The sequence below is a fragment of the Homo sapiens genome, chromosome 12 (assembly GCF_000001405.40).
Source record: "Homo sapiens chromosome 12, GRCh38.p14 Primary Assembly".
NCBI lineage: Eukaryota > Metazoa > Chordata > Mammalia > Primates > Hominidae > Homo > Homo sapiens.
Window position 1 is genome coordinate 80,392,681 of NC_000012.12, and position 3,117 is coordinate 80,395,797.

The window sequence follows — 3,117 nt, forward strand, 5'->3', positions numbered from 1 at the left end:
CTCTATCCATTGATATTCCTTAAGACGTTTTAAGTCTTTCAATCTTCACATGGTCATTTTCTAAATACATAAAATGTATTCTATTACTAGTATGTTTTATTTGGTATGCTTTCATTTCAGTTAATCTTGTTTTATACACAGGAACATTATAATTATATTTATGTTGTTTATCTTTCATACTTTTGACATTTTCTCTCATATTTCATCTTTTTGTTCTGTATAATTATAGAGGTTTTCAAGTTTTCCTTCCACGGTACCAATTTACTTACTTCAATCAGTGTAGATTATAATTCTGTGAATGCAGAATTTTTAGTTTCCTTGCATTAATTTTTTATCTAATGTCATTTTTATATCATCCAATTTTTTTAACCTCAAGTTGTTTTATATCTATGCCAGACTGTTTTTTCCTCTAAATATTTTTCTACATGTCTTTTGCACCCTTTAGAGAAAAACCAAACTCTCCTCTACTTTGTTCCCAAATTTCCCAACACGGTGCTTATATTAATTTGTTATTCCTCTGATGTTTTAGGATCCTATTCTCTCTCCGTTTCTTTGTAGTAATATTCCATAGGTTTTATGGCTTATTTTCATGTCATTTTGGCTGTTTATTAGTGATTAGTGTATATGGTTTACTCTTGGTTATACTCTATTACCACTTGAGGAATTGTCAACTTTTTATTCTCATATTTCCAACTATAGGGCATGATAATAAAGTTGATTCCCATTTCATTTTCCGTATTTTAGCTAGCATTTCCTAATATTCTCAATTATGCAGAGGTGGCCACTTTTCCAAACTCTATTCATGCTTCTCTAATATCCTGAATTGTCCAAATATAAGGGAAGTTCCAGTTCCCTTCATGCACAACTACTGTTTTGGGTTTTTGTTTTTCCTGACTCTTTCTAAATCTACCATGTTTGCCTCATGGTGACCAACTAATAAAATACAGTGGGCTAGAATGTGTTGTTTCCTGGGAGCTATTATCTCTGAATAAAAATAGAAAGCCAGGGAGATAGTTGGAGTGAGAGAAACTTTAGCTACTTTTAGATATACGGTTGTATAATAATGTGGTCTCTGACCAGTTCCTGTTAGGTGTAGATCCCAAAACTCTGAGTTGAAGAACTGGAAATGTAAGATATGATAGATATCTCCTTTCACTTTTCTTGGTTGACTTGTTTTCTATTTTACAGATTTTCTTCTGAACTCAATTTTACTGTTACACAATTTTAGTTGTGATTTTGTTTTTGTTTTTGTTTTTTCTATTTTTCTTCAATGTTTAGAGAAACAGTCAGTTTTACATTAAGGAGTACTGTCATGCACACTTGAAGATGCATTTGAACATTTTTCTGATATCAAAAATTTGGAAACAACTTAAATATTCTATAATTCTATTTTTTGATTATTATATAAATTGTGACATAACTTGGATTATTATGCATAATTCAAAATCATATTTTAAAAAATTCTTTACTGACACAAAATATTTTGTGAAAAAACAAGATACATATATAACTGGATTATTCCTGTCTTGCTAAAAAAAGATATATATATATATATATATATATATATATATATATACATTGCACAGAAAATATCTTGGGAAGAAACACATGTATATATTCAACATTGGTTATCTTGGGCTGGTGGTATTTTGAGTGAATTTCTATTTTTTTTACTTGTATGTATATTCGAAGTTACCTTCAATAAGCAAGTGTTTATTTTGTTTTGCTTTGTTTTATTTTTAAAGAGATAGCAAGGTTCTTAGAAAATAGTGATTTTGGCAGAAGGTTAAAAAACCAAAATTACTCCAAGGCATAAATTTTACTATTTAAGCAATATGTAAACAATTCTCATTTAATTTTTTTTTTTAGTATTAGCCATTTTGAGTAATACTAACTTCAAACAAGTATTGCTAACATTTTGCAGAAGAGAAAAACATTGGCTAGCTGAGCAAAGGAGGCTGCATTGTAATTTATGTGGAATTTGTAACTCGTATTTGAAGACAATAATGTTTGTTTGTATTTAAAAGAGAAACTCCCACTGGCACTTTAAAATCTGCCAACATCATAATGGTTTTGCTTCACTTAAGAATTAGAAAATATTGAAAAAGGTCACTGCTTATATCTGTCATGGTAAAAACCTGACCATATTCAGCAGCTTGATTTTGGCTAAAATAACATGCATGTGCTGCATGTCTATGTGGCATACCAAATTGAAATGGAATATTGTGCTTTCTCCTCAGCTGTGATGAACATTTATTTTGTAGATTTTATTTTCAAGAGAAGAACTATTGTAATTCATATAGTATACTTTTTTTTGCGCCCCAAGTCTTATCACTTGTTTTATTTTAGAACAGCACAAATTTTGAGAATCAAATATCAACATTGTACAAAAGATCCATAAAATTGTGCAACGGAGTCTTAAGGAAATAATCTGACTGTAATATTAAGATAATAAATGTGTAATCAAATACATGAGAATTATTTGCTGTTAAAATCAGTCTATTAAAATCAACATATTTGTGTGTATATATATGTATATATATGTGTGTATGTGTACATATATATACATACACAAGTGTGTATATATATATATATATATATATATATATATATATATATATATATTATACTTTTTTTTTGAGGCAAGGTCTTACTTCATAACCCAGGCTGGAATGCAGCCTGCATGGCTCACTGCAGCCTTGACCTCTTGGGCTCAAGCAATCCTCCCACCTCAGCCTCCTGAGCAGCTGGGACCACAGGCACATGCTACCACGCCCAGCTAATTGTTTTGTATTTTTTGTAGAGATGAGGTTTTGCCATATTGCCCAGGCTGATCTCAAACTCAAGGAAACTGCCCACCTCAGACTCCAAAAGTTTTGGGACTACAGGTGTGAGCCACCATGCCTGGCAAAATCAATGTTTAGGAAATGATTTCTACCTGTAGAATAAGTACATAGGCTATATACACATATTAAGATATATGCCAAAAGTAGTGCCAGAATACATCTAGTTATAGTTATATTCATTTCCTTGCTCTAACAGCAGCTGGTTTAATTACATCAAAGAAGAGGAAATTAATTAATCAGTAAGGAGATTCTATAGCTCTTTATGTGATTA